Here is a 25,432-nt window from a genome sequence, read left to right as displayed (position 1 = left end):
GCACAACAACACCCCAGAAACTGGCCAGCAGGTTTGGAGTTGCTCTCCAAAAGCTGAGGAAGTCACACACCAGGGTAGCTTCAGACACATCTCTCTCTAGAGGCTGTGGAAGTGCAAACTGCCTACTGCAAGGAAATTTAACTCATAGGTATTTTCTTTAAAAAAAAAAATTGCACACTGGGTGTGGTAGATCATACTTGTAATCCCAGAACTTTAGGCGGCTGAGGCGGGAGGACTGCTTGAGCCCAGTAGTTCAAGACCAATCTGGGCAACATAGCAAGACCCCATCTCTACAAAAAATAAGCAAAAACTAGCTAGGTGTTGTTGCGCACACCTGTGGTCCCAGCTACTCAGGAGGCTGAGACAGGAGGACTGCTTGAGCCCAGCAGTTTGAGACCAGCCTTGGCAACATGAGACACACCCAAAAAAAAAAAAACAAAACCCAAGCAAGGTACACACCAGGGCAGCTTCAGACACAGCCCTCTCTAGAGGCTTCAGAAGTGTAAACTGCCTGCTGCAAGGGAATTTAACTCATAATTAAAAAAAAAAAAAAAAAGGCAAGGTGCCCAGGGTGGCTCAAACCTGGAATCCCAGCACTTTGAGCAGCTGAAGCAGGAGGACTGCCTAACCCTACGAGTTCAAAATCAGTCTGGGCAATATAGCAAGATCCTGTCTCTACGAAAAAACCAAACCAAAACCAAAAAAACTAGCCAGGTGTGGTGGTGCACCTGTAGTCCCAGCTACTCGGCAGAATGAAGCGGGACGATCGCCTGAGCCCAGGAGGTCGAGGCTGCAGCGAGCTATGACTGCACCACTGCACTCCAGCCTGGGAAACAGAGCGAGACTCTGTCTCAAAAAAAAAAAAAAGTAATGACAAATAAATAAAATAAGGCAAAGAGTGGACCTAAAGCACCAAGGGATTACAGACACCAGAAACTGGGCAGTGGGTTTGGAATTGCTCTCCAAAAGCCGAGGCGTGGTGCACAGTGCTCCCGCCTATAATCCCAGTACTTTGGGAGGGCGAAGCGGGAGCATCGCTTGGGTCCAGGAATTCAAGATCAGCCTGGGCCACATAGCAACGCCCTGTCTCTAAAAAAAAAAAATTAAATGGAAAAAAAAAAAAAAGCCAAGCAAGGCAGACAGCAGGGCAGCTTCAGACGCACCCCTCTCTGGAGGCTTCGGAAGTATAAACCGCCCTCTGCAAGGGAACTTACAGGTTTTTTAAAATGAAATAAAAAAAATAAAGAAAGAAATAAGAAAAAAAATACAAGAAGACCCCAGGCTTTCGTTTCCAGAGGACTAGCACCTGATTCCACCTGGAATGGAACAGGAGGCTCTTAAGGATTTGGGGGTGGAGGCGCCATGAGAATAGGGCTGGAAACGCAAAAGGAGGAAAGGCAGGTGCGCGTTTCCTATTTTTCCAGAAGGTAAAAATATCTACGACTGCCCCTGGGGTAAGCGGCTCCAGGATAAAGAGCCTTCCAAGCGCTTAAGAGAATGGACTCTCAGTCTATGGAGGCCTGGGGAGAGGATTCTCCAGCTCTGTGGCGGAGGCCATTGGGGCACGGCCCGGGAAGGCTCCTAGTGTCAGGGCCGGGAGGGTCGCGAGAGGGCCTATTCTTGGGTCAAGGAGAAACCTGTCAGAGCCTGGAAGAGTGACTTCTGGCCGAGCAGGGTTCAGGGAAGGTCCCCACCTCAGGTCCCTCGGGTGTCTCTGGCCACCCCACCTTCCACACAGGCGCCCGCCGCTGCCCTTCCGGGGGCGAAAGATTCCAGAAAAGCGCGGGAACGTACAAGACACGCTGTGCGCAAGCGCAATCCCAACGGCTCGCCCAGGGCCAGTAGCTATCGCGAGGTTTGGAAGTGTGCGAGCTGATGCGCGCCACGTTTGAGTCACGCCGCTCCACAGCCTCGTGTGGCCTCAAGCTCTCAGGCGTCCTGCCCTCTCACGTGGGCTTGGGCACGCGGGCGGCCCGCTTTAGCCCCGCCCCCACCCAGGTCCCACCCCCGCTACCCTCAATCTCCTACTCCATTGGGCGGGTTTTGGACCAGACTGCTAGTAACCCCTTTAATCTGGCTTCTCAATTGCCATAGGCTAGGTTCCACCCAGGCCCCGCCTTTTGAGCCGGATCGCCACGCCCCCGAGGGAGACCACGCCCCTATTTCACCAACCTCCTGAGTGCCAGCCGGGTCCCGCCCCCCTGCCGAGCTTCCGCGCTACATTGGCTTAATTTCTTCCTTGCCCCCGCCCCTGAAGCCGGCTCCGAGCCATTATTGGCGGGGCCCCGCCTCGGGCCCCGCCCCCTGTCCGGCTCCCCGCTCCCATTGTCTCGGCAGATGCCGCCTGGTCCAGCTATCGTGCTCGGTATTCAGTTTTCCGGAGCAGCGCTCTTTCTCTGGCCCGCGGAGCGGTCCCGCGGCCGAGTACCGGATTCCCGAGTTTGGGAGGCTCTGCTTTCCTCCTTAGGACCCACTTTGCCGTCCTGGGGTGGCTGCAGTTATGTCCGCGCTGCGACCTCTCCTGCTTCTGCTGCTGCCTCTGTGTCCCGGTCCTGGTCCCGGACCCGGGAGCGAGGCAAAGGTCACCCGGAGTTGTGCAGAGACCCGGCAGGTGCTGGGGGCCCGGGGATATAGCTTAAACCTAATCCCTCCCGCCCTGATCTCAGGTGAGGAGAAAGAGGAAGACTAGAGAATTGGGGGTGGGGGGCGGGGGCGGGGCCTCCTCATCTCACAATAACTCTCTTCCTTTTCAGAGTGACCGTTATACTAATCTTTTCATCCCACAGTAATGTCTGTTCTCCTCCTGTAACTTCCTTACCGGGATCACAATAACCCTCCTATGCAAAGAATAGCGCTCTTACTCCATCCCCACCCCAGGAATCCCCTCCTCCTAATTAACACCCCCTATGTGTTTCTTTCTTCACAGCCATGTTCTCCTCGCTGTTTCTATTAGCCCCTTCTATGAGAATACTTTATTGCTCACCAAGTAACCCCACCCTTCCAAGCCCCATTCTTCATCCCCTAGAAGCTGTTCTCCAAGTCCCTCGAGGTCTGGGGTGTGGACATTGGGGAGGGTCACCTGAGGACACTCTGACCACTGACTTGGCCCTCAGGGCAGCTGTTAAATAGATGATCCCGTGGCTAATGGGAGTGAACTTGGGATGGGTCAGGAGACAATAAGGTAGGGGATAGGTTCAGGTAGGGAAGAGGGTGCAGACAATAGAAAAGAGACCAGGCAGGTAGAAGAGAAGGCATAGTCCCCAGAGATAGGCGGGAAATGGAAGGGATTTTAGGATATCACTTCCCACCATTCCTTCACGTCTCCTCTGTCCAGGTGAGCACCTCCGGGTCTGTCCCCAGGAGTACACCTGCTGTTCCAGTGAGACAGAGCAGAGGCTGATCAGGGAGACTGAGGCCACCTTCCGAGGCCTGGTGGAGGACAGCGGCTCCTTTCTGGTTCACACACTGGCTGCCAGGCACAGAAAATTTGATGGTGAGGACCTGGGGTCCCCAAACTCAGCTTCACAGCTCCTCTCGGTGCTTAGGACCCCAGCAAGGCTCCTGTCCCCACTCCTTACTCCATCTGTGAAGACTCCATCCCCTCCCAGCCCGCCCACCCCCCAGACTCTGTCTCCAGGGCCCTGCCCTCCCCCATTCCCTGTCTGCCCCATCTCTGAGAGTTACTCAGTTTCTGATTCACTTGTCTTTTCTCTTCTCTCCCATCTCCTCCTGCCTCTGCCTGTTCACTTTTCTCCCCATTCTTTGGCCTGACCTGCCTTCCACCTGTTCCCTGCATTTGCTGCAGAGTTTTTTCTGGAGATGCTCTCAGTAGCCCAGCACTCTCTGACCCAGCTCTTCTCCCACTCCTACGGCCGCCTGTATGCCCAGCACGCCCTCATATTCAATGGCCTGTTCTCTCGGCTGCGAGACTTCTATGGGGAATCTGGTGAGGGGTTGGATGACACCCTGGCGGATTTCTGGGCACAGCTCCTGGAGAGAGTGTTCCCGCTGCTGCACCCACAGTACAGCTTCCCCCCTGACTACCTGCTCTGCCTCTCACGCTTGGCCTCATCTACCGATGGCTCTCTGCAGCCCTTTGGGGACTCACCCCGCCGCCTCCGCCTGCAGGTGAGGGATCCTGAGGCCTGAGCTTCAACCACTTCTGACCTAGTGACCCCTGAACTGTGCACCACTCACCTCCAAACTGGCGTGCTCCAGTCACCTCTGACCTGGTGATCCCCCATCCTGCATTGAAGCCATTTCTGACCTGGTGATCCCTATCCTGAGCTTTACTCACCACTGCCCGACCCAGTGCCCCTTGGTCTTCTTGAAGCAGATGCCCCCACCCCTGCCACCTCCCATTCTGAGCCCTAGTTTCACACAAACACTCACCTGCCCTTAGCCTCCAGCCACCTTTGTGCCAACCCCTTCCTAATCGTAACACCTTGACTTCCTCTGGTTCAACTAAACAGGAATTGTGCATTCAATACGCAAAAGGCATTTTCTTTTATAGTATCACATTTAGTTGTCATCATAACCCTGTGAGGTAGACAGTCATGCCCTTATTTTACAGATGAGAAAACTGAGGCTCCCAGAGATTAAGCTTTTCAGCCAGTAAGTGGCAGAGCCGTGGCTCACACCCAGGTCTTCTGGCTTCAAGTTCAGTGTTAGTTCCGATACACAATTTCTCTCTCTCTAAGCCCTGTACAACATAATCCCTCCATCTCTTCCCAAGCCTTCCTTTGTTTTTCTTTAAGACTATAATTCCTGTGGGGGCTCTTGAACCTGCCTCTCTGTACCACCCAACACTCGACCCACTCTGAGAGAACCCCACACACCCAACCCTCACTGCTCTTGATGCAGTCTCTTGGCTCCAGTCTTGACTGACCCATAACAACCTTGTGGTTTTTCTCACCTTCTTTGCCTTCTCCCAGATAACCCGGACCCTGGTGGCTGCCCGAGCCTTTGTGCAGGGCCTGGAGACTGGAAGAAATGTGGTCAGCGAAGCGCTTAAGGTTGGAGGGTGCCTGAGTATGGGCAGGGCCCAGGGAGGGAGAGGTGGAAGTGAGAGAGACCCCACAAGGAAGAAACAGCCACCAGCCAGCAGGACAGGCCTTGGGCTCTGTCTGCCTCCAGGCCCTGGTGTCCTAGGATGAATTAGGAAGGAGGGGGCTGGAGTGAAACCTCCAATGGTCCACGATCCATGATCTCTGACCCCCTCCTCCCCTCTGTGGACCCATACCCTCCTCAGTCCCCAAGGGCCTGCTCATCTCCATAGCAGTAGGAGATTGGATACTGCCCCCGCCCAACCCCCCAGGATCCCTCAATGACTCCACTTCCCTGCTGCTGAAGGCCAGATGCCTGGCTTGGCCTCTCTCACTGCCCATCCTCTACCTGACCTCCCAGCCTCACCTTCTGCCTCCTGACCGCCTCCTCCCTCCCCAGCTGTGATGGGCTCACTCTTGTCCTTGAATGTTCCCTCCACCCCTAACTGCCTCTCTATTTCCACCCCTCCCACGAATCAGAGTCAGCAACCTGGAACCTCCCTCCTCAGATCTGTGACAATCTCACCTGCTGCCACGTGGGGTCACCAACCCTAGGTGTAGGGTGGGGTATGTGATTTCTGTCTGTGCCCAGCACCAAGCCAGGCTGAGAGCAGCCACAGCGTTTGTGGAGGACACAGCCCCACTCTCTGCCCCCAGGTGCCGGTGTCTGAAGGCTGCAGCCAGGCTCTGATGCGTCTCATCGGCTGTCCCCTGTGCCGGGGGGTCCCCTCACTTATGCCCTGCCAGGGCTTCTGCCTCAACGTGGTTCGTGGCTGTCTCAGCAGCAGGGGACTGGAGCCTGACTGGGGCAACTATCTGGGTGAGGGGATTCAAGAAAGCCTGGAGCCAGGCATGGTGGCTCACACCTGTAATCACAGCACTTTGAGAGGCTGAGGCAGGAGGATCACTTGAGGCCAGGAGTTGGAGCCCAGCTGGGGCAACATAGCTAGACGTCATCTCAAGAAAGAAAGAGAGAGAGAGAAAGAAAGAGAGAGAGAGAGACAGAGAAAGAAAGAAGGAAAGAAGGAAGGAAAGAAAGAAAAAGAAAGAAAGAAAGAAAGAAAAGAAAGAAATCAGCCAGGCATGGTAGCGCCCGCGCCTGTAGTCCCAGTTACTCCTGAGGCTGAGGCAGGAGGATCACTTGAGGCCAGGAGTTGGAGGCCAGCCTGGGCAACGTAGCTAGACCGCATCTCTACCAAAAAAAAAAAAAAGAAAGAAATTATCAGGCATGGTGGCACACATGCCTGTTGTCCCAGTTACTCCAGAGGCTGAGGCAGGAGGCTCCCTTGATCCCAGGAGTTAGAGGCTGCAGTAAGCTATGATGATGCCACTATACTCCAACCTGGGCGAGAGAGTAAGACCCTGTCTAAAAAAATCCTAAAATTGGCCAGGCACGGTGGCTCACGCTTGTAATCCTAGCACTTTGGGAGGCGGAGGCAGGCGGATCACAAGGACAGGTCAGGAGTTCAAGACCAGCTTGGCCGGCTGGGCATGATGGCTCATGCCTGTAATCCCAGCACTTTGGGAGGCCGAGGTGGGTGGATCAAGAGGTCAGGAGTTCGAGACCAGCCTGGCTAACATGGTGAAACCCCATCTCTACTAAAAATACAAAAATTAGCCAGGCGTGGTGGCATGCACCTGTAGTCCCAGCTACTTGGGACGCTGAGGCAGAAGAATCACTTGAACCCGGGAGGCAGAGATTGCAGTGAGCCAAGATCATGCCATTGCACTCCAGCCTGGGTGACAGATGAGACTCTTTTTTTTTTGAGACAAAGACCAGCTTGGCCAATATGGTGAAACCCCTTCTCTACCGGAAAAAAATATATATATATACACGTATATATATACACACATATATATACGTATATATATACACACACATATATATATACACACATATATATACACACATATATATACACATATATATACGTGTATATATACATATATATACACGTATATATATATACACACACACACACATATATATATATACACACACACATATATATATATACAAAAATTAGCCGGCATGGTGGCAGGCGCCTGTAGTCTCAGCTACTCCGGAGGCTGAGGCAGAAGAATCGCTTGAACCCAGGAGGCAGAGGTTGCAGTGACCCGAGATCGCGCCACTGCACTCCATCCAGCCTGGGCGACAGAGTGAGACTATGTCTCAAAAAAAAAAAAAATCCTAAAATCCTAAAATTTAAATTTAAATTTTAAAAAAGTCTGGGATGGAGGAGGGTCCTGAGTAAGGCTGGGGGTGAAATGGAGAGGGGCTTTAAAGCCAAATTGGGGGGATACATGAGAGGGAGCTCATGTGAGTTTCCCCCAAACACTTTGCTGCTTCTCTAAGGCCCGAGTGAGGATTTTCAGGAACATCCTAGTTCAGTATCACCACTCATCCCATCCTTTCTCTTTCTCTCCCTCCCTTAAGATGGTCTCCTGATCCTGGCTGATAAGCTCCAGGGCCCCTTTTCCTTTGAGCTGACGGCCGAGTCCATTGGGGTGAAGATCTCGGAGGGTTTGATGTACCTGCAGGAAAACAGTGCGAAGGTGTCCGCCCAGGTACAGGGGAGAGAAGGGTGGAGGTGAGGCCCGGGGCGGGGACGGTGTGGGTGTCAGAGAGGCAGTATAGGGGATCTGGGAAGAGACTCTGGGGTCAGAGTGGGGACGCAGTGTGGTTTCCCCCCAGGGTGACTGTGTGAGGTCTCTTCCCGGTGCCGCAGGTGTTTCAGGAGTGCGGCCCCCCCGACCCGGTGCCTGCCCGCAACCGTCGAGCCCCGCCGCCCCGGGAAGAGGCGGGCCGGCTGTGGTCGATGGTGACCGAGGAGGAGCGGCCCACGACGGCCGCAGGCACCAACCTGCACCGGCTGGTGCGTGGGATGACCAAGAGTTGGGGGCGGGGGGGCCCGGGGCCGGGGATGGTTGTGGGGGTCGCGCTCCAGCTCGCCCCGCCCCCTCTCGCCCGCCCAGGTGTGGGAGCTCCGCGAGCGTCTGGCCCGGATGCGGGGCTTCTGGGCCCGGCTGTCCCTGACGGTGTGCGGAGACTCTCGCATGGCAGCGGACGCCTCGCTGGAGGCGGCGCCCTGCTGGACCGGAGCCGGGCGGGGCCGGTGAGCCTCGGGGGCGTCGGGGGGCAGCAGGGGGCGGGACCGCGGCCGGGAGGGGCGGGGCCGCGCGCGCTAGCTGGCGCTTCGGGGCTGCTCTGCTCGCAGGTACTTGCCGCCAGTGGTCGGGGGCTCCCCGGCCGAGCAGGTCAACAACCCCGAGCTCAAGGTGGACGCCTCGGGCCCCGATGTCCCGACACGGCGGCGTCGGCTACAGCTCCGGGCGGCCACGGCCAGAATGAAAACGGCCGCACTGGGACACGACCTGGACGGGCAGGACGCGGGTGAGACCCCTGCATCCCTGAGCCTGAGCCCCGCCCACTGCCCTGAAGCCTCTCCCCTCTCCTGGTAGTTCCCGCCCGTGCCTCTGCTCTTAGCGTTCATTGATTAATTCACTAATTCATTCAACGAGCATTTATTGAGCGTTGCCCTGAAAGACTGGGGGTAACAGATCAATGAGGGGGTCTGTATCCTTTCAGGCCAGTAGGGGAGACACGAAAACATTCTTAAAGAACAGTGGGAAGCCCCTTATAATGGGCAAAGGGCAGTGGGAAAATGGGGGAGGGGGCAATTTGGGGGAGGCTGGGAAGCCAGGGTGGTGGGTGACATTGAGCTGGCTCCGCAGGGTGGAGTTTGCCAAACAGAGAAGCAAGGCACAGACACTCATTGTTTTCTTCTCTCCTTCTATCTGTCTGTCTCTGTCTCTCTTTGTCACTCTTCCCGCACCCCTCTTCCTGGCTGCTTTCTGCTTCTGTGTACTTCTGATTTTTCTGTTTTTTCCTGTTATCCTCTCTCCCCATCTGCCTGTTTTGTTTTTTTTTCTCTCTGTCTCACTGTCTCCCATCATGATCTCTCCCCCCATGTCTGCTGTCGGATCTCTCTCCTTCCTTCTCTCCCTGCCTTCCTGTCACTCATGGTCTTTCTCCCTTCCCCAACCCGGCATCCACCTGTGTCTCCCTCCCTTTCCTCTCTCTTTCTGTTTTTATCTCAATTTCTTTTCCTCCCTCTGTCTCCCTCTGCTTCTCCCTCCCATCCTGCTCTGTCCCTCTTCTTCCTTGCAGATGAGGATGCCAGCGGCTCTGGAGGGGGACAGCAGTATGCAGATGACTGGATGGCTGGGGCTGTGGCTCCCCCAGCCCGGCCTCCTCGGCCTCCATACCCTCCTAGAAGGGATGGTTCTGGGGGCAAAGGAGGAGGTGGCAGTGCCCGCTACAACCAGGGCCGGAGCAGGAGTGGGGGGGCATCTATTGGTTTTCACACCCAAACCATCCTCATTCTCTCCCTCTCAGCCCTGGCCCTGCTTGGACCTCGATAACGGGGGAGGGGTGCCCTAGCATCAGAAGGGTTCATGGCCCTTTCCCCTCCTCCCCCCTCAGCTGGGCCTGGGGAGGAGTCGAAGGGGGCTGCAGAGAGGGTAGAGAAGGGACTTTGCAGGTGAATGGCTGGGGCCCCAAATCCAGGAGATTTTCATCAGAGGTGGGTGGGTGTTCACAATATTTATTTTTTCATTTGGTAATGGGAGGGGGGCCTGGGGGTATTTATTTAGGAGGGAGTGTGGTTTCCTTAGAAGGTATAGTCTCTAGCCCTCTAAGGCTGGGGCTGGTGATCAGCCCCAACAGAGAAAATGAGGAGTTTAGAGTTGCAGCTGGGGAAGGGGTTTGAAGGAAGTTGGAAGTGGGGAGGGGTGGGGGCATCTGGTCTCAGAAATGGACCAGCTGGATGCAGGGCAGGGGACTGAGGGTGCTTGAGTAGGATGTGAGACTTCATGGGCCTGGGTTCTGTTGAGTTTTTTCAGTATCAATTTCTTAAACCAAATTTTAAAAAAAACAAGGTGGGGGGGTGCTCATCTCGTGACCTCTGCCACCCACATCCTTCACAAACTCCATGTTTCAGTGTTTGAGTCCATGTTTATTCTGCAAATAAATGGTAATGTATTGGACCCCATGTGTGGCTTCTGTGCTGTCACCATCAGTGCCTGAGCCCTGGCTCCTAGCAGAGGTCTCAGAGCCTCTGTGACTGGCTCATTTTCTGCCGGCTTTTCACTTCCCTTGGCACCTGTCCCCCAGGAGGCGGGCCTAGACAATAACCTCTGATCTCCAAATTGCCCACCCTCTGGGCCTCTGAGCATCTTCGTTTGTACAACAGGGAGAATTGTGGGGACCAAATAGAATCTGTGTGAAAAAGCACCTTGTCACCTGCAAAATGCTCTTTGAACATGAGGCTTTTTTTTTTTTTTTTTTGAGATAGAGTCTCGCTGTTGTCGCGAGGCTGGAGTGCAATGGCGCGATCTCAGTTCACTGCAACCTCCGCCTCCCCAGTTCAAATGATTCTCCTGCCTCAGCCTCCTGAGTAGCTGGGATTACAGGCGCCTGCCACCACAGTCAGCTAATTTTTGTATTTTTAGTAGAGACGGGGTTTCACCATGTTGGCCAGGCTGATCGCAAACTCCTGACCTCAAGCGATCCACCAGCCTTAGCCTCCCAAAGTGCTGGGATTACAGGCGTGAGCCACCGCACCCGGCCACGAAGCATTATTAAGGTGACCACACCACTGCCCCCTGCCTTCAGGATGGGAGGCCTTGTTCTCTGAGTGTCAGTCTCTGGCTACCTTGCCACGTCCTTGACAATGTCTGCTTTCAAATATCACTTTCTCCTTCCTTCCTTCTTTCTTTCCACCGCCTGAATGAATCTTTTGTTCTGCGGCAAGCCAAGAGAAAATGGTAGGATTGATTCCCAAGTGTGAAAGCGGGGGCGGAAGTGGTGTCTTCCAAGAGGAGTCTGGGTGCCCTGCCGAAGAGGGGAAGATGCAGCGAGGGAGAGACCTAGAACCGCGATCAAAGCTGCAGCAGCTGCTGGGGCTGGCGGCACAAAGGGAGGAGGGAGGAGCCTGGGCGCTGAGAAAGTTCTTGGGGAAAGTTGAGCTGAGCCAAGAGTCGGGCGGTGGCTGGGATGGGCGGGAGGGCCCGGCCCGATTTCCCTTGCTGCTCCCCTTGTGGCCTGGTGAGTGGGAAGTGAAACCAAGGATAGGACCAGTGGAGGGACCCTCTAATTTATGGGAGGAGACATGAGGGGTTCATGGAACCCCAGCGGGGGCAACTGGGCAGTCACCAAAGCTGGAGGGGACAGAGGGCTGGGATCTCCAATCATGGGAAGGGAGAGATGGATGGAAGGAAATGAAGAACTCTGGATAGGGGAGACGCGGCTAGACCCCAGGGGCTGTGATCAGGGAGGGAATTGGGGAGTGATGCCAGAGAGGGCAGGTCTCCGGGAGTAAAAGTGTGGCTTCTCTCTGCTTGGGGTTACCCCTGGCTCATCGGAGCAGGGAGCTGTCGGGGCTTGTTGGAGGGGCCGTGGTCCCTGATCGCGAGTTGTAATCTGAAGGGGCGGGGCTGGACTCCCGGTTGATTAGGAAGCTCGGGCTTCAGAAGGAACTCTGCAGTTAGTGTTTGCGCCTTTCTCCTTATCTTTGTGTCATAGTCTCTCTGTCCCTCTGTCTCTCTCTCTCTGTTTCTCTGTGTGTGTGTGTGTGTGTGTGTGTGTCTCTCTCTCTTTCTGTCTCCCTCTCCAGCCCCACCCTTTCAGTCTCCTCCGGGTGCACTGATAAGGTTGGAAAGTGGAATGGTGGGTAAGTCCAGGGATCTGGGCTTTATAAGTAGCCACACGTCTCCCCCAGCCCCTGTCATACATGGGGGTCTGCCCCGTGCTGAGACAGAGAAAAAAGAGGCGCGGGAATTTATAACCCAATGGCTCTTACCCATTGCAATGCCACTCCTGGAAGTCCAACCTCCCTTCCTCCTGCCTGGGTTCATACACCTGTGTCCTGTCTGATCCTCATTCCCACTGTATGGCTTCCCTTCCTGGTCCTGGGATAGGGCTCTTTATCCCCATCTGTGACAGCCAGAGGGGCTCTGGAGGAAACCAGGTTCCCGACCATGGTCTGACCTGACTGTGTTAATGAGCTGATTGATCTGATCTCTCTCTCTCTTGCTGGCTGTTTCATTCACGAGCTGGGGCTTTTTCTCTCCTTCCCTTATAAATCCCCAAGGCTCAGGGACAACTGTAGGTGGGGAGCGGGAGGAACTGGAGATAAGAAAGTGATAGAGCAGAGACAGTAGTTGTGGGGCCACCTAGGAGAGTCTGGGTATAGACAACATCCCCAGCCACTCCCCTTCCCTGAAGGAGGTCTCAGCTGCAGCAGGAGAGAAGGCTGCCTCTGCCTCTCTCCTTAGACTTCCCTTCTTCCCCCCTCATTTCCCTTCTAGACGCTGACAGAGGCAAAAATCTGCTAACTCAGGGGGCAGACTCAACCAAGACTGTGAGCAGGCCTGGGGAATGACCCCCCGATCTCCAACCAGTGCCTTCCGCAGCTGCACGGCTGTCTCCAGCTGTCTCTGCCCCTCTTCCTGGCCCTGGCTCCATCTCTCTGTCACCTCACCCTTCCCTGTGCCACATGGGCCCTCTCTCTCCTGCCAGGACGCTGCGGCTCTGGGGACCTCGGAGCCTGGGGGTGGCTCTGGGAGTCTTCATGACCATTGGCTTTGCACTCCAGCTCTTGGGAGGGCCCTTCCAGAGGAGGTGAGTTCCCACTTTGCCCCAACTCCTTCTAGACGCCCCGTACTTGCTCTTCCCCATCCCACCTGGGGCTGGTGACTCCTGAGGACTCAGAAGCCTCCATGCCCTCTGTCCCTTCTACCCATTTGCTGCTGAGGAACAGGACACTCCCCCTCCATCTCTTCCCAGGCTACCTGGGCTACAGCTCCGACAGCCCTCGGCCCCATCCCTACGACCAGCCCTTCCGTCCTGCCCACCCCGGCAGCGACTGGTGTTCCTGAAGACACATAAATCCGGGAGCAGCTCTGTGCTGAGCCTGCTTCACCGCTATGGGGACCAGCACGGGCTGCGCTTCGCCCTCCCTGCCCGCTACCAGTTTGGCTACCCAAAGCTCTTCCAGGCCTCTAGGGTAAAAGGCTACCGCCCACAGGGTGGAGGCACCCAGCTCCCCTTCCACATCCTCTGTCACCACATGAGGTTCAACCTGAAAGAGGTAAGGAGTGTCGCAGTGGTGGGAGGGACCAGAAACAGATGGGCTCAGGCTGACACCACCAAGGGAGGGGGCCCAGACCTGGGGGCTCCCCAGGCATCATCTCACCCTAAAGTTGGACATAGGGGCCACAAAGTTGGGCTCCCTGCCATCCTCTCTACAGGTGTCCCTTCCCCAGTAGTTTCTGGGAGCCCAAGTCCTCCTCCCTTCTCTCTCTGGCGCTTACTCCAGTCTCTCTCTTTCACCAATGTATTTCCCTGGCATCAGTGCCTTGCCAACTCTGAGCCCCCAACTCTCCCTCCAGGTGCCCCTTACTCTTCTGTTTTTAAATTATTTTTTGGAAGACAGGGTCTTACTCTGTCGCCCAGGCTGGAGTGCAGTGGCACAATCATAGCTCACTGCAGCCTTGACTTCCCAGGCTCAAGTGATCCTCCCACCTCAGCCTCCTGAGTAGCTATGGCTAAGGCATGTGCCACTACACGTGGCTACTTTTTAATTTTTTGTAGAGATGGGGTCTTGCTATGTTGCCCAGGCTGATCTCAAACCCCTGGGCTTAAATAAATAAATAAATAGTCCTGGGCTCAAGTGATCTGCTCACCTTGACCTCCCAAAGGGTTGGGATTACAGGAGTGAGCTTGCCCAGCCTGTGTGTGTGTGTGTGTGTGTGTGTGTGTGTGTGTGTGTGAGACAGGGTCTCATTCTGTCATCCAGGCTGGAATGCAGTGGTACAATTATAGCTCACTGTAACCTCAAACTCCTGGGCTCAAGCGATCCTCTCACCTCAGCCTCCCAACTAGCTGGGACTACAGGTGCATGCCACCACACCTGGCTATTTTTTTATTTTATTTTTTGTAGAGATGGAGTCTCACTATGTTGCCCAGGCTGGCCTCAAATGATCCTCCCACCTCAGCCTGGCAAGTACCTAGGACAACACGCCCCTTCCCTTTCTTAGCCTCCCTTTCACTGTCACACCAGGGCCCCACCTCCCCCACTGCCTTCTGACTTGTCTTCTTCAACCCCCTCACATTTTGAGGATCAGCTGTATTTTTAGCCCGGGACTAAGCCCAGCACTTTGGGAGACCAAGGTGGGCAGATCACCTGAGGTCAGAAGTTCGAGACCAGCCTGGCCAACATGGTGAAACCCTGTCTCTACTAAAAATACAAAAATTAGCCAGGCGTGGTGGCACACGCCTGTAATCCCAGCTACTCGGGAGGCTGAGGCAGGAGAATTGCTTGAACCCAGGAGGCAGAGGTTGCAGTGAGCCGAGATTGTGCCACTGCACTCCAGCCTGGGCAACAGAGCGAGACTCCATTTCACAAAAGAAAAAAAAGGCCGGGCGCAGTGGCTCACGCCTGTAATCCCAGCACTTTGGGAGGCCAAGGCGGGTGGATCACAAGGTCAGGAGATCGAGACCATCCTGGCTAACACAGTGAAACCCCGTTTCTACTAAAAATACAAAAAATTAGCCGGGCATGGTGGTGGGTGCCCGTAGTCCCAGCTACTCAGGAGGCTGAGGCAGGAAAATGGCATGAACCTGGGAGGCGGAGCTTGCAGTGAGCTGAGATCGTGCCACTGCACTCCAGCCTGGGTGACACAGTGAGACTCTGTCTCAAAAAAAAAAAAAAAAGGAAAGAAAGATAAATAAATAAAATTGAAAATTAAAGTGGCAGAGCTGGAAGTTGAGCCCAGGTCCATGCACTCCAAAGTCGAGGCTTCTTCCGAGGCTTGTGCATGTGTTTGTATCTGGAATGGTGAGAAGAATATTCACCAAAGAGGTGATGCTTTCTGGAGAGGGGGGTTTATTTTACTTTATTATTTAATTTTGATTTTTATTTTATTTATTTTGAGACAGAGTCTTGCTCTTTCCCCTGGGCTGGAGTGCAGTGGCACGATCTCAGCTCACTGCAACCTCTGCCTCCCGGGTTCAAGCAATTCTCATGCCTCCCAAGTAGCTGGGACTACAGGCACCCGCCACCACGCCTAGCTAATTTTTGTACTTTTAGTAGAGACAGGGTTTCGCCATGTTGACCAGGCTGGTCTCAAACTCCTGACCTCAAGTGATCCGCCCACCTCAGCCTCCCAAAATGCTGGGATTCCAGGTGTCAGCCACCGTGCCCAGCCGAGAGCGGGGGGTTTTAAAGGAAAAGGTGGATGTGGCTTGTGGTAAGGACAGCATGAGGCATTCTTAGAGGGAGCAAAACACCAGCAAGGACATGGTGGGGTGCACGTGTGTGTGTGCATGTAAGAGGGAGAACGTCTGTACTGGGGGTAGAAGTTCCACAGGGGCTGCAAAGTCACCCTTGTTGAAGCTGGAGCTGGAGACACCAGCTGAGGACATGGGCGTGCTCTGATGGGCAGCGAAAGGCCACTGCCAGGAGTGAGGCAATGACAGTGACCTTTGAGGTAGGTTTCTCCAGAGGCTAGGATGATGGCCTTCACTGACGCCACCATTCACTGAATACCTACCATGTTCCAGACACTTGCACATTCTTCCAGGTAAGTGTTACCCAGTTACTCAGATTTCTAGATGGAGGAATGATGGCTCTGAGACCTTCAATAACCCGCCCAAAGTCACAGAATTAGTAAATGGCAGAGTGGGATTTTATTCCAGGTCCAGATGCCAAAGACTGTTTTCTTCGCTTTCCCCTCTGCCTTCAAAGAGACCTGCAGGGCCAGGCATGGTGGCTCATGCCTGTGATCCGAGTGTTTTGGATGCTGAGGTGAGAGGATTACTTGAGCCCAGGAGTTCAACGCCAATCTGGGCAACATAGCAAGACCCCATCACTACAAAAAAATTAAAAATTAACAGGGAATGTTGGTGTGTGCCTGTAGTCCCAGCTATTCAGGAGGCTGAGATTGGGGAATCCCTTGAGCCCAGGAGTTTTCAAGGCTGCAGTGAGCTATGATATGCTGCCTAAGTGACAGAGCAAGGAGACACTGTCTCTTAAAAAATAGTAAGAAGAAAATAAACACTGAAAAGCTAAAATGCTCATTTCCTGTCCTCCCCCTCAAAAAAAAAAAAAAAAAAGAGAGTTCACAGGCTGCTATTCAGGTGTGCCATACTTGCAGAGCCGATTGAGGAACACCATGACAGACAGAAGTCAGATTCAATGATGGAAGTCATTTTTGGAGGCAGAAACCCTTCAAGGAGACTAGGAGCTAGGTTCTGACCTGCATCAGCCTGCAGGGCCACGTTAGGGTGTGGTGCAGCCTGATCTCCACCTTCATTCTTGCAGAGCGGTGTAATCACGTGTCCCAGCCCTCAGGGCAGCATCCTACCAGGCAGCCGTGGCTTCCCAGTGTCCCAGCCCAGGGTGTTTTTTGCCCTCTAGGATGCCCAGGAGACCCTGAAGTGCTTTACCCCTCAGCCATTCTGGGCCTGGCCTGCCCACCTGCTGCCTATGCCCGAGATGGCATTATAGTTGCTCCTTTGTTGCCAGTGATGCCCCCTCCCAGGCACTCAACAGGTTTTTGCTGGAGAAATGAGTACAAAGGTTGGTTCCTAGAGGTTTTACTGACCAAGGCAGACAGAAATGCCCGAGGAAATTAATGTTCTCCAGGAGTTTCCTATCCTCCAGGTTTCCGTCCCTCCCTTCTTTCTTTTTTTTTCTTTTTCTTTTTTTTCCCTTCCTTTTCCTCCCCTCCCCTCCCCTTTAAAATTAGTGCCCGGCTAATTTTTAAGTTCTGGGATACATGTGCAGAATATGCAGGTTTGTTACACAGGTATACATGTGCCACGGTGGTTTGCTGCACCTGTCAACCTGTCATCTAGGTTTTAAGCCTTGCATGCATTAGGCATTCATCCTCATGCTCTCTCTCTCTTCCTTTGCCCCTGACCCCGACAAGCCTCTCCTCTTCCCCCTCTCCCTCCCCTCTCCCCCCTCCCCTCCCCTCCCCTCCCCTCCTCTTCCCTTCCCTCCTTCCCTCTCTGGCTGCTTCTTTCTTTTTTTTTTTTTTTTGAGACAGAGTCTCACTTTGCTGCCCAGGCTGGAGTGCAGTGGCGCGATCTCGGCTCACTGCAACCTCTGCCACCCAGCTTCAAGCGATTCTCCTGCCTCAGCCTCCTGAGTAGCTGGGATTACAGGCGCCTGCCACCACGCCTGGCTAATTTTTATAGTTTTAGTAGAGATGTGGTTTCACCATCTTGGCCAGGCTGGTCTTGAACTCCTGACCTTGTGATCCACCCGCCTCAGCCTCCCAAAGTGCTGGGATTACAGGTGTGAGTCACTGCACCCGGCCCCTTTCTTTCAAGGCAGGGTCTTGCTGTGTTGCTCAGGCTTGTCTTGAACTCCTGGGCTTAAGCAATCCTACCACCTCAGCCTCTTGAGTAGCTGGGACTACAGGTGTGTACCAGGATACCGCGCTAATTTATTTTTATTTTAAGTTCTGGGATACATGTGCAGAACATGCAGGTTTGTTACATAGGTACACATGTGCCCTGGTGGTTTGATGCACTGATCAACACATCATCTAGGTTTTAAGCCCTGCAGGCATTAGGTATTCATCCTAATGCTCTCCCTCCCCTTGCTCCCCACCCCGACAGGCCCCAGTGTGTGATGCTCCCCTCCCTGTGTCCATGTGTTCTCACTGTTCAACTCCCACTTACTTATGAGTGAGAACACATGGTGTTTGGTTTTCTGTTCCTGTGTTAGTTTTGTTAGTTTACTGGAGTAGGTTAGTTTGCTGAGCATGATGATGGCTTCCAGCTTCATCCATGCACCTGCAAAGGACATTATCTCATTCTTTTCTATGGCTGCATAGTATTCCATGGTGTATATGTGCCACATTTTATTTATCCAGTCTATCATTGATTGACCTGCTAACTTTTTTAGTTTTTTTTTTTTTTTTTTTGAGACAGAGTCTTGCTCTGTTGGCCAGGCTGTCAAGTGCAGTGGCACGATCTCAGCTCACTGCAACCTCCGCCTCCTGGGCTCAAGCAATTCTCCTGCCTCAGCCTCCCGAGTAGCTGGGATTACAGGCGTGTGCCATCACACCTGGCTAATTTTTTTGTATTTTTAGTAGAGACGGGGTTTCACCATGTTGGCCAGGCTGGTCTCGAACTCCTGACCTCAAGTAATCCGCCCGCCTCGGCCTCCCAAAGTGCTGGGATTACAGGCTTGAGCCACCATGCCCGGCTTTTTAGTTTTATTTTTGTAGAGACAGGGTCTCGCTATGTTGCCCAGGCTGGCCTCGGCAACATAGCAATGCTCAAGCCATCCTACTGCCTCAGCCTCCTGAGTAGCTGGGACTACAGGCACACAAAACATGCCTGGCTCCATGCTCCAGATTTCTTGTATGTTTTATCTCATGTATCTTTCATAGTCACTTGAGAAAGTATGATTATCCCCATTTGCAGATAAGCAAATTGAGTCTCAGAGATGTTAAGTAACTTGCCACTCAGCAAGTGATGGAAGCTGGGGATTCCTAGCAGAGCTGGGAGGAGGAGGTTTCAGGAGGCTGGTCAGCGGACACATGGCTTGTGCATACTTATGCATACCTTCTCCCCAGCCCAGTTCTCTCTCTTCTGTCTTCCCTCCTCTGCAGGTACTTCAGGTCATGCCTTCTGACAGCTTCTTTTTTTCCATTGTCCGAGACCCAGCGGCTCTGGCTCGCTCTGCCTTCTCCTACTATAAATCCACCTCATCAGCCTTCCGCAAGTCACCATCTTTGGCTGCCTTCCTGGCCAATCCTCGAGGCTTCTACAGGCCTGGGGCCCGTGGGGACCACTACGCTCGCAACTTACTATGGTTTGACTTTGGCCTGCCCTTTCCCCCAGAGAAGAGGGCCAAGAGAGGGAATATTCATCCCCCCAGAGACCCCAACCCCCCACAGCTGCAGGTCTTGCCTTCTGGTGCTGGCCCTCGAGCCCAAACCCTCAATCCCAATGCCCTCATCCATCCTGTTTCCACTGTTACTGATCATCGCAGCCAGATATCAAGCCCTGCCTCTTTCGATTTGGGGTCTTCATCCTTCATCCAGTGGGGTCTGGCATGGCTGGACTCTGTCTTTGACCTGGTCATGGTGGCTGAGTACTTCGATGAGTCATTGGTTCTGCTGGCAGATGCCCTGTGCTGGGGTCTAGATGACGTGGTGGGCTTCATGCACAATGCCCAGGCTGGACATAAGCAGGGCCTCAGCACTGTCAGCAACAGTGGACTGACTGCGGAGGACCGGCAGCTGACTGCACGGGCCCGAGCCTGGAACAACCTGGACTGGGCTCTCTATGTCCACTTCAACCGCAGTCTCTGGGCACGGATAGAGAAATACGGCCAGGGCCGGCTGCAGACAGCTGTGGCCGAGCTCCGGGCTCGCCGAGAGGCCCTAGCGAAACATTGTCTGGTAGGGGGTGAGGCTTCTGACCCCAAATACATCACTGATCGCCGGTTCCGCCCCTTCCAGTTTGGGTCAGCTAAGGTTTTGGGCTATATACTTCGGAGTGGATTGAGCCCCCAAGACCAAGAGGAATGTGAGCGCCTAGCTACCCCTGAGCTCCAGTACAAGGACAAGCTGGATGCCAAGCAGTTCCCCCCTACCGTCTCACTGCCCCTCAAGACTTCAAGGCCACTCTCCCCATAAACATCAGACTACAGATTTAGGTGGAAGAGCAGCCATGTTTGAAGGGCACATGTGATGAGTGGGGGGCAGCAAGATGCCATTTCTGCATCTCCCAGAAGGGATGAGTCTTTGTCCCGATGCAAGCCCCCTCTTCGCTGGGCTCCCAGCAGTGCTTCCCTCCTCCACCCTCCACTCATTTTGTTCTTTCCCCCCAACTTTTTTTTTTTTTGAAACGGAGTCTTGCTCTGTCCCCCAGGCTGGAGTGCAGTGGCATGATCTCGGCTCACTGCAACCTCTGCCTCCCAGGTTCAAGCGATTCTCCTGCCTCAGCCTCCAGAGTAGCTAGGATTACAGATACGTGCCACCATACCCGGCTAATTTTTATATTTTTAGAGACAGGGATTCAACATGTTGGTTAGGCTGGTCTTGAACTCCTCACCTCAGGTGATCCACATGACTCTGCCTCCCAAAGTGCTGCCATTACAGGCGTGAGCCACTAGGCCTGACCTCCCCTTCCCCTTTCCTGCCCCAAGGCAGATCCACATCACCGAAGCTCCCTAGAGGGGCAAAAGATGGAGTGAGCCACAGGAAGTTTGGGGCGTGGTGAGTTGGAATGATACGTCCATTTCTCTATGAAATATTTGCTACTAGACTGTTCATTTCTCTCTGACATGTTTGTTGAATGAATAAATAATTTGAAACTTCTACTTGATTTATGGAGGGTGGAAAGGGGAGGGATGGAGAATCTTCCTGGGAGAAGTGGGGTTGGAAGGGTTGTTTTTTTTTTTTTTTCCGAGACAAGATCTCACTCTGTCACCTAGGCTGCAGTCCAGTGTCCCAATCATAGCTCACTTCAGCCTCAAACTCCTGGGCTCAAAGGATCCTCCTGCCTAGGCCTTCTAAGTAGCTGGGAATACAGGCGCGCGCCACCGCGCCCGGATAATTTTTAAATTTTTTGCAGAGAGGAGTTCTTGCTATGTTGGCCAGGGTGGTCTTGAACTCCTGGCCTCAAGCGATCCTGCCGCCTCGGCCTCCCACAGTGCTGGGATTACTGGCGTGAGCCAACCCGCCTGGCCGACGAGGTCTTCCATTTCTTTTCCAAGAAGCCTGGCCGCAGCCCCCGCCTGCATTCTCGCAGCCTCAGAGCAGCGGGACCCCGCCCCCTCCTCCACGGTCCGGGCACCCGCAGATTCCGGGGCCTCGGCGGCCACGCCCCCTCCCTTCCGCTTCCTGTTTCTCTCCAGTCATTCGGCTCAGTACCCCGGTTCCGGCGCTGCCGGGTCTCGGTTCGGGTTCGTTGCCCCGGTGCCGGGACCGGGCCGGTCTCTCCGGCCGCCCCAGCCGGGCGCAGCAGCCGGAGGTGTCGGGACCCTCTGGACCCACCCTAGCGGGCCCCGCCGGCGGTCGGCCTCCGGTCCGGGCTCCCAGTCGCGCCGTCCTCGCCGCCCCATGGAGTCCCAGTGCGACTACTCGATGTACTTCCCGGCCGTGCCGCTGCCGCCGCGCGCGGAGCTGGCAGGGGATCCGGGCCGGTACCGGGCGCTGCCCCGGCGCAACCATCTGTACTTGGGGGAGACTGTCCGTTTTCTGCTGGTGTTGCGCTGCCGGGGCGGTGCGGGGTCCGGCACCGGGGGCGGCCCGGGCTTGGGCTCCAGAGGAGCCTGGGCAGAACTGGCAACCGCCCTGGCCGCCCTGGCCTCGGTCAGCGCCGGAGGCGGGATGCCGGGGGGCGGCGGCGCCGGCGACCAGGATTCGGAGCCCCCAGGGGGAGGGGATCCTGGGGGTGGGGGTTTGTTCCGAGGCTGCAGCCCCCTTCTCACCCACGGCCCGGGCCCTGCTACCTCAGGGGGAGCGACCACGGTGAGGAGCTTTGGGGGACCTGGCACAGGACGGAGGGGCGGTTTGCTGGGGGCCTGAGGCAGGAGGCAGATGAACTGCCGGTCTTAAAGGGAAAGGCTGCAGGCTGCCTCTGACTTGCTCCTGACCTCTTCACCCCTTTCCCAACCCCAGCTGCCTGTGGAGGAACCGATTGTGTCCACAGATGAGGTCATCTTCCCACTCACCGTTTCACTGGATAGACTGCCCCCAGGGACACCTAAGGCCAAGGTAAGATGAGCAAGAGTGGAGCTATTGTCCTAATTCAGACACCTTTTCCGGGCTCAGCCATCTGTCTTTCCTCTTGACAGATTGTAGTGACTGTGTGGAAGCGGGAGATTGAGGCACCAGAGGTCAGAGATCAAGGCTACCTGCGATTGCTGCAGACCCGATCTCCTGGGGAGACATTCCGGGGCGAGCAGAGCGCTTTCAAGGCCCAAGGTGGGCAGGGCAGCGCAGAGGCAAAGGGCTAGAGTCTGGGAATTGGGGGACAGAGGGGAGGGGTCACACTGGAAAGTGGCTAATGGGCTCTGAGAAGAGGAAGGTGAGAATTCTGGGTTGGAGGTGAGGTCAGCCTCCAGACCATCACTTCTTGCCCCCACCCCCTCCCGCAGTGAGCACGCTGCTGACTCTGCTGCCCCCTCCGGTTCTGAGATGCCGGCAGTTCACTGTGGCTGGAAAACACTTGACCGTGCTCAAGGGTAAGCAGGGCTGCCGGCTCCAGCCTCCGGGAGCAACAAGGGAACTGATTGGATGCAGTTCCTCTGGGCAGGCTGGTGGGGTAGGTCCGGTTTTTTCTGGGTAAAGGTGGGGCCTGAGGGGTCCAGCTATTCTGAGCCAAGCTGGTCCTCTCCCACAGTGCTGAACAGCTCCTCTCAGGAGGAAATCTCCATCTGGGATATCCGAATCCTCCCCAACTTCAACGCCAGTTATCTACCTGTCATGCCCGATGGCTCTGTGCTGCTGGTGGACAATGTCTGGTGAGGTCCTGGGAGGGGCGAGGCTGTGAAGTGGTGGGGATGGCTTCAGGGGCTGAGCTCTGGCATGGGGAGACCATGCCTTGTCCTCTTTTCTGAGCTAGTCACCAGTCTGGGGAAGTCTCCATGGGCTCCTTCTGCCGCCTACCCGGGACCTCTGGCTGCTTCCCCTGCCCGCTGAATGCCCTGGAGGAACACAACTTCCTGTTTCAGCTGAGAGGGGGTGAGCAGCCCCCTCCAGGGGCCAAGGAGGTGAGCATAAGGGGCTGGTGTGTTCAAAGAAAAGTGATAAGGCAGTGGGAGGGAAAGACCAGGCAGCTGACTCAAGATGGGAGGGGCACTCTTAATACCTGTGCCAACCCCCTTTGTCCCTCCTGCAGGGCCTGGAAGTTCCCCTGATTGCTGTGGTTCAGTGGTCTACCCCAAAGCTGCCCTTCACTCAGAGCATCTACACCCACTACCGGTGAGTGTGGATCCTGGAGGAATCGTGGCGTTCGCCTTTGTGGCCTGACACACACAGCCAGCATCCCTCTCTCACCACTCCTAGCCTGCCCAGTGTCCGCTTGGACCGCCCGTGTTTTGTGATGACCGCTTCTTGTAAGTCCCCTGTTCGGACCTACGAGCGTTTCACTGTCACCTACACGCTGCTTAACAATCTCCAAGACTTCCTTGCTGTGAGGCTCGTGTGGACCCCAGAGCATGCACAGGCTGGTAGGTCAGCTGCCAGGTAGGAATTTGGTCCCCAGGGAGGGGAAGAGAAAGGAAAAAGTCAGGGAGGCAGGACAGTGAAAACAGCCAAATTTGGTGCCAGCCCCATCACAGGAGGCGACTTGTGGCAGGTGGCTTCCGCCCTGTACCTGGGTGGTCTCCCCAGTGTCCTAGATGGAGAGTTTAGAGAGGCAGTGGGGCAGAGTGACTTTCAGGGCATAGACACTGGAGCTGCACTCGCTGGTGTGAACTCTACTTCTCTCCTTTACTAGCTGTGTGACCTTGAATAAGTTACTTAACCTCTCTGGGCCTCAGAGTCCTCACCTTTAAAATAGAGCAACTCATATCTGATGGGGCTGTCATGCAGATACTGAGTTAATATACGTGACGTGCCTTGCACACAGTACGTATTAGCTGTTGTTATCTACAACATGCACAAAAGATAACGTTTGCTCAGTTTACTCCACAGAGTGGCTTTGAGAATCAGATGAGACTGTGCTGGCGAAGGCCCTGTGGGAATGAGGAACGCTGTAGTGTTTGCTGGTCCCTGTTTCTGCCCCCAGGAAAGCAGCTGTGTGAGGAGGAGCGCCGGGCCATGCAGGCTGCCCTGGACTCCGTCGTCTGCCACACGCCCCTCAACAACCTTGGCTTTTCCCGGAAGGGCAGCGCGCTCACCTTCAGTGTGGCCTTCCAGGCTCTGAGGACGGGGCTCTTCGAGGTGGGCTGGGGAGGGTCTGGGCTGAGTGCTGAGTGATGCAGAATGCTGGGGTGGACGGAGGCAGGACCCTTAGATTTTGGGGATGAAATAAAAAGCTGGGCAGAGGGAAGGTGGGATTTAGATTTGACATCAGTCTGTCACATGGGGAAGACCATTTGGAAGGAGGCCTGGGTCCTGGAAGCCGAGCTGGCATGCTGACCTGTGTCTCCCCCCAGCTAAGCCAGCACATGAAACTGAAGCTGCAGTTCACCGCCAGCGTGTCCCACCCTCCACCCGAGGCCCGGCCCCTCTCCCGCAAGAGCAGCCCCAGCAGCCCTGCTGTCCGGGACTTGGTGGAGAGGCATCAGGCTAGCCTGGGCCGCTCCCAGTCCTTCTCCCACCAGCAGCCTTCCCGAAGCCACCTCATGAGGTACAGAACCAGGGGGCGTGGCATGGGACCGGGTAGAGGATGGGAGCAGCGAGGGTGCCGGGTCTGACCAGCGCCCACAGCCTCTGCCTTCCCCCAGGTCGGGCAGTGTGATGGAGCGCAGAGCCATCACGCCCCCTGTGGCCTCTCCTGTTGGCCGCCCCCTCTACCTGCCCCCGGACAAGGCTGTGTTGTCTCTGGACAAGATTGCCAAGCGCGAGTGCAAGGTCCTGGTGGTGGAACCCGTCAAGTAGCACCGTGCCAGCTCTGTTCCCTCTTACACTCCAGAGACCCAACGCCCCCAGAGGGGATCCCTGCTCCCGGGCTGTGCCTCCCCTGGGATGCCTCCCAGACGGGGGTGAAGAGGCCTGGCAGAGCTGCCTGTCTTGTGTCTGCTGATGAGGGATGGGGGAAGAAGCTGTGAAGTGGGCGGGCATGGCTGGGACTAAGCCACCAGTATTCCCCGAGTTCCTGTGGGGGGGGCTGGCCCCACCCCTAGGCCAGGGCAAGGGTTCCCAGAGCTCCCTTGTCCCCGGCCCTTTACCCTGGTTCTGAGTTTACAAAGTCTCTTCCTCATTCCCGTTGAGTTCTTTCCCACCTCTGACATTCCCTCCCTCCCTCCCGCAGGGCTGAGATTAGAGGGTGGTGATGGCTAAGGGCCCCTGACAGTGACCTTCCTGTCTCAGGGGTTGGGGACAGGGCCAGGTAGCCTCCTGCCCCTTATGTTTACGTTTGCAGCCTGAAGCACTTTAATTTTTTTTTTTTTGGTCTGTTCCTGTAACTTATTTTCCAACTATTGCTTCCAACTGAAATAAGACTATTAAATGCCTGTTCAGGAGGGAGAAGGATGACTAGTTTGTGTACTGATGGGAAGAGCAGAGGTCGCCAGGGCTCAGGGTGACTCCCTTCCCCTCCAGCTTTTTCTGCTTCCCAGTTTTATAGCACACAGAGGTGGCCCTGCCGCACCCAACTTGGGCTAAGGTGCATGACTTTCTCC

General features: G+C 55.2%; 4 protein-coding genes and 1 non-coding gene across 27 annotated transcripts in view, besides 8 other annotated features; 4 read left to right on the top strand and 1 right to left on the bottom strand.

Annotated features, from left to right (window-relative positions):
• STAG3 (STAG3 cohesin complex component) overlaps positions 1-1,976 on the bottom strand; it is a 41,611-nt gene extending 39,635 nt beyond the window's left edge. For 9 of the 22 annotated variants that reach the window (XM_017011683.3, XM_047419786.1, XM_017011686.3 and 6 more), the window contains exon 1: positions 1,695-1,782. The gene's annotated coding sequence lies outside the window, so the exon portion shown is untranslated. The other 13 variants (XM_017011684.2, XM_047419793.1, XM_047419790.1 and 10 more) reach the window with 3 other exon arrangements.
• Positions 2,008-2,057: a silencer, noted in NCBI's record as "silent region_18425". NCBI's record gives its function as "represses an Ori minimal core promoter by ATAC-STARR-seq in GM12878 lymphoblastoid cells {active_cell/tissue: GM12878}" and the evidence as "EXISTENCE:reporter gene assay evidence [ECO:0000049][PMID:35858748]".
• Positions 2,238-2,357: a silencer, noted in NCBI's record as "silent region_18424". NCBI's record gives its function as "represses an Ori minimal core promoter by ATAC-STARR-seq in GM12878 lymphoblastoid cells {active_cell/tissue: GM12878}" and the evidence as "EXISTENCE:reporter gene assay evidence [ECO:0000049][PMID:35858748]".
• Positions 2,319-10,094, top strand: GPC2 (glypican 2). Its single transcript, NM_152742.3, has 10 exons — positions 2,319-2,666; positions 3,335-3,493; positions 3,806-4,128; positions 4,935-5,015; positions 5,703-5,865; positions 7,483-7,613; positions 7,775-7,921; positions 8,022-8,161; positions 8,264-8,439; positions 9,217-10,094. Exons 1-10 carry the CDS (start codon positions 2,501-2,503, stop codon positions 9,468-9,470), a joined length of 1,740 nt encoding a protein of 579 aa, NP_689955.1. The 5' UTR covers positions 2,319-2,500; the 3' UTR covers positions 9,471-10,094.
• Positions 7,768-7,877: a silencer, noted in NCBI's record as "silent region_18423". NCBI's record gives its function as "represses an Ori minimal core promoter by ATAC-STARR-seq in GM12878 lymphoblastoid cells {active_cell/tissue: GM12878}" and the evidence as "EXISTENCE:reporter gene assay evidence [ECO:0000049][PMID:35858748]".
• Positions 8,018-8,237: a silencer, noted in NCBI's record as "silent region_18422". NCBI's record gives its function as "represses an Ori minimal core promoter by ATAC-STARR-seq in GM12878 lymphoblastoid cells {active_cell/tissue: GM12878}" and the evidence as "EXISTENCE:reporter gene assay evidence [ECO:0000049][PMID:35858748]".
• Positions 10,095-11,082: 988 nt separating the features above from the next.
• On the top strand, positions 11,083-20,456 carry GAL3ST4 (galactose-3-O-sulfotransferase 4). The gene is made up of 4 exons (NM_024637.5): positions 11,083-11,154; positions 12,417-12,729; positions 12,895-13,198; positions 18,741-20,456. The coding sequence occupies exons 2-4, from the start codon at positions 12,605-12,607 to the stop codon at positions 19,770-19,772; spliced, it is 1,461 nt and encodes a 486-aa protein (NP_078913.3). The 5' UTR covers positions 11,083-11,154; positions 12,417-12,604; the 3' UTR covers positions 19,773-20,456.
• Positions 18,897-19,396: an enhancer, noted in NCBI's record as "H3K4me1 hESC enhancer chr7:99757927-99758426 (GRCh37/hg19 assembly coordinates)". NCBI's record gives its function as "activates a minimal SCP1, AML or CMV promoter by ChIP-STARR-seq in naive H9 embryonic stem cells {active_cell/tissue: H9 hESC(naive)}" and the evidence as "EXISTENCE:reporter gene assay evidence [ECO:0000049][PMID:30033119]".
• Positions 20,843-21,482: a silencer, noted in NCBI's record as "silent region_18421". NCBI's record gives its function as "represses an Ori minimal core promoter by ATAC-STARR-seq in GM12878 lymphoblastoid cells {active_cell/tissue: GM12878}" and the evidence as "EXISTENCE:reporter gene assay evidence [ECO:0000049][PMID:35858748]".
• Positions 20,977-25,277, top strand: TRAPPC14 (trafficking protein particle complex subunit 14). 2 transcript variants are annotated; one of them, NM_001303470.2, is made up of 11 exons: positions 20,977-21,111; positions 21,762-21,857; positions 21,938-22,067; positions 22,241-22,327; positions 22,486-22,606; positions 22,708-22,855; positions 22,984-23,066; positions 23,151-23,314; positions 23,875-24,029; positions 24,245-24,438; positions 24,536-25,277. In NM_001303470.2, exons 5-11 carry the CDS (start codon positions 22,569-22,571, stop codon positions 24,687-24,689), a joined length of 936 nt encoding a protein of 311 aa, NP_001290399.1. In that variant the 5' UTR covers positions 20,977-21,111; positions 21,762-21,857; positions 21,938-22,067; positions 22,241-22,327; positions 22,486-22,568; the 3' UTR covers positions 24,690-25,277. The 2 variants fall into 2 exon arrangements, with proteins under 2 accessions (NP_001290399.1, NP_060745.3); NM_018275.5 differs by having other exon boundaries at positions 20,977-21,611.
• Positions 21,513-21,662: a silencer, noted in NCBI's record as "silent region_18420". NCBI's record gives its function as "represses an Ori minimal core promoter by ATAC-STARR-seq in GM12878 lymphoblastoid cells {active_cell/tissue: GM12878}" and the evidence as "EXISTENCE:reporter gene assay evidence [ECO:0000049][PMID:35858748]".
• Positions 21,694-21,870: a silencer, noted in NCBI's record as "fragment chr7:99755453-99755629 (GRCh37/hg19 assembly coordinates)". NCBI's record gives its function as "represses an EF-1alpha promoter that drives an FKBP-Casp9 reporter gene in an ReSE screen in HepG2 liver carcinoma cells {active_cell/tissue: HepG2}" and the evidence as "EXISTENCE:reporter gene assay evidence [ECO:0000049][PMID:32094911]".
• Positions 23,031-23,095, top strand: MIR4658 (microRNA 4658). Its single transcript, NR_039802.1, has one exon. It is a non-coding gene; the product is annotated as a microRNA 4658 (primary transcript).
• Positions 25,278-25,432: the final 155 nt, after the last annotated feature.

This window comes from Homo sapiens, chromosome 7 (genome assembly GCF_000001405.40).
Source record: "Homo sapiens chromosome 7, GRCh38.p14 Primary Assembly".
Classification (NCBI taxonomy): Eukaryota; Metazoa; Chordata; class Mammalia; order Primates; family Hominidae; genus Homo; species Homo sapiens.
The sequence above is the reverse complement of the archived record's forward strand: the minus strand, read 5'-3'. Positions and strand labels throughout refer to the sequence as shown.

Bases quoted from the DNA above. Each gene is read 5' to 3' on its own strand.
- GPC2 (NM_152742.3), top strand. From the start codon at position 2,501: ATGTCCGCGCTGCGACCTCTCCTGCTTCTGCTGCTGCCTCTGTGTCCC. The intron at 4,129-4,934 runs GTGAGGGATCCT...GCCTTCTCCCAG, and splicing joins CCCGCCGCCTCCGCCTGCAG to ATAACCCGGACCCTGGTGGC. The intron at 5,016-5,702 runs GTTGGAGGGTGC...CTCTGCCCCCAG, and splicing joins TGGTCAGCGAAGCGCTTAAG to GTGCCGGTGTCTGAAGGCTG.
- GAL3ST4 (NM_024637.5), top strand. From the start codon at position 12,605: ATGGGCCCTCTCTCTCCTGCCAGGACGCTGCGGCTCTGGGGACCTCGG. The intron at 12,730-12,894 runs GTGAGTTCCCAC...ATCTCTTCCCAG, and splicing joins GGAGGGCCCTTCCAGAGGAG to GCTACCTGGGCTACAGCTCC. The intron at 13,199-18,740 runs GTAAGGAGTGTC...CCTCCTCTGCAG, and splicing joins TGAGGTTCAACCTGAAAGAG to GTACTTCAGGTCATGCCTTC.
- TRAPPC14 (NM_018275.5), top strand. From the start codon at position 21,201: ATGGAGTCCCAGTGCGACTACTCGATGTACTTCCCGGCCGTGCCGCTG. The intron at 23,067-23,150 runs GTGAGTGTGGAT...CACCACTCCTAG, and splicing joins AGCATCTACACCCACTACCG to CCTGCCCAGTGTCCGCTTGG. The intron at 24,439-24,535 runs GTACAGAACCAG...GCCTTCCCCCAG, and splicing joins TCCCGAAGCCACCTCATGAG to GTCGGGCAGTGTGATGGAGC.